We start from the raw sequence: 2,318 nt of genomic DNA on the forward strand, positions 1-2,318 counted from the left end.
AATTAAATACTTCATGCCAGGACAATGCTATTCTTTTTTTTTTTTTTTGTATTTTTGTGGGTAATAGTAGGTGTAATATATTTTTATGGGGTACATGAGATATTTTGATACAGGCATGCAATGTGTAACATGCACATCATGGAAAACGGGGTATCCATCCTCTCAAACATTTATTATTTGTGTTATAAACAATCCAATTATGCTTTTAGTTACATGAAAATGTACAATTAAATTATTATTGACTATAGTCACCCTGATGTGCTATCAAATACTAGGTCTTATTCATTTTTCTAATCGTTTTTTGTATCCATTTACCATCCTTACTTCCCCCTTAATTCCCCACTACCCTTCCCTCCCGGCCTCTAGTATCCATCCTTCTACTCTCTGTTCATGATTTCAATCGTTTTGATTTTTAGGTCCCAAAAATAAGTAAGAATATGTGATGTTTGTCTGTGCTGGGCTTATTTCACTTAACAGAATCTCCAGTTCTACCCATGATGTTGCAAATGACAAGATCTTACTCTTTCTTATAGCTGAATAGTACTCCATTGTATATATGTACCACATTTTTGTTTGTTTGTTTGTTTGACACAGAGTCTCGCTGTCGCCCAGGCTGGAGTGCAGTGGCGTGATCTCGGCTCACTGCAGGCTCCGCCCCCCGGCGTTCACGCCATTCTCCTGCCTCAGCCTCCTGAGTAACTGGGACTACAGGCGCCTGCCACCACGCCCGGCTAATTTTTTGTATTTTCAGGAGAGACATGGTTTCACCGTGCTAGCCAGGATGGTCTCGATCTCCTGACCTCGTGATCCGCCCACCTGGGCCTCCCAAAGTGCTGGGATTACAGGCGTGAGCCACCGCGCCCGGCCATGTACCACATTTCTTTATCCATTCATCTGCTGATGAACACATAGGTTGCTTCCAAATCTTGGCTATTGTAAACAGTGCTGCAATAAACTTGGGAGTGCAGATATCTCTCCAATATACTGATTTCATTTCTTTTGAGTATATACCCAGCAGTGAGATTGCTGGATCACATAGTAGCTCTATTTTTAGTTTTTTTTTGAGAAATCATCAAACTATTCTCCACAGTCGTTGCACTAATTTACATTTCCACAAAAAGGGTAGACAATTCTATTCTTAAATTCATTATTTGCTGTCTTATATTTCAGAGAAATTTATATATGAGTTACATTTACATAGAATTTTCTTACACTTTGTATTTTTCACATCAGGACTGCAAAGACATTTTAAATTAAGATAAAACAAAATTCACAAAAATGAAGTAAATTGAATCTCATTTCATCTGTAGTATTTGATGCCTGAGACATATTAGAATAATCATTTTTTACTTAAATGAATTTGTTTTATTTACACTGTTCTAAAGGAAAGGGAAGAAACATTACTTTAAACACAGAAAACTAGAGTATATTCCACTGCTGAGCTAGAGTGTTGCACTACTTCTTGACCAATGTCATCTTTATGACTTTCAAGGTGGTGCAGGCATTTGGGCCTAAGAAACTGGTCTTGCTCAAATGTTGTAATCACTATCCAGAGGCAGAAAGTGATGAAGAATAACAGAGCAGTGGTTGTTGACCATTTTAAATACCTTTCTTGTAGATTTATTGGTCTTGGTGTTTATGGCTTGGAAGAATTAATTTTACTGGTGTGCCCTATTATTGTTTCCCTTTCTGTTTCTTGTGTATTATTTGTAACACCATGAGATAACAGTTTGCAAAGCAGGGTGTTAAAGAGCATAGAGAACTTAATTTGGCTTACCTTTGAGATTTATTACCTTGCAAAAAGAGGCACAGGAGAGAAATTCAAGAACTTCATTATAGTACAAACTGAATGAGACTGAGAGTTGTGCTGTTAGAATATAAATTAATTGATTAATATGTAATCTTGTAGTAAATAAATATTATATCTGTTTGTCTCCCTTAAAAATAGATAATTTCTACTTAAGAACTGTGCCTACAAATTAAAATGTAGTAAAACAGTGTTCCATCTTTTCATAAATATGAAAAATTTCGCTTCTAATATTTAAAAATCCTTCACTTACAGAGACTGAACAGAAGTTTTGGCAAGTAGATGAATTAAACATATCAGACTCAGATTGATCTTCCCATCTATTCATAATTTTAACAACCAAAATTATTTCTCACTGTATATAAGGTATGAAATTGAGATTCAGTTTTCTAGAAGACTGAATTTAACTATTTTTATTTTTGTTTATATGTGAGTTTGTATAATATATTAAAAATAAATAAATTTGCCATTGTCTCCTACTCACAAACTTAGGCATAATTCACAATAATTA

Source organism: Homo sapiens, chromosome 2 (genome assembly GCF_000001405.40).
Source record: "Homo sapiens chromosome 2, GRCh38.p14 Primary Assembly".
NCBI lineage: Eukaryota > Metazoa > Chordata > Mammalia > Primates > Hominidae > Homo > Homo sapiens.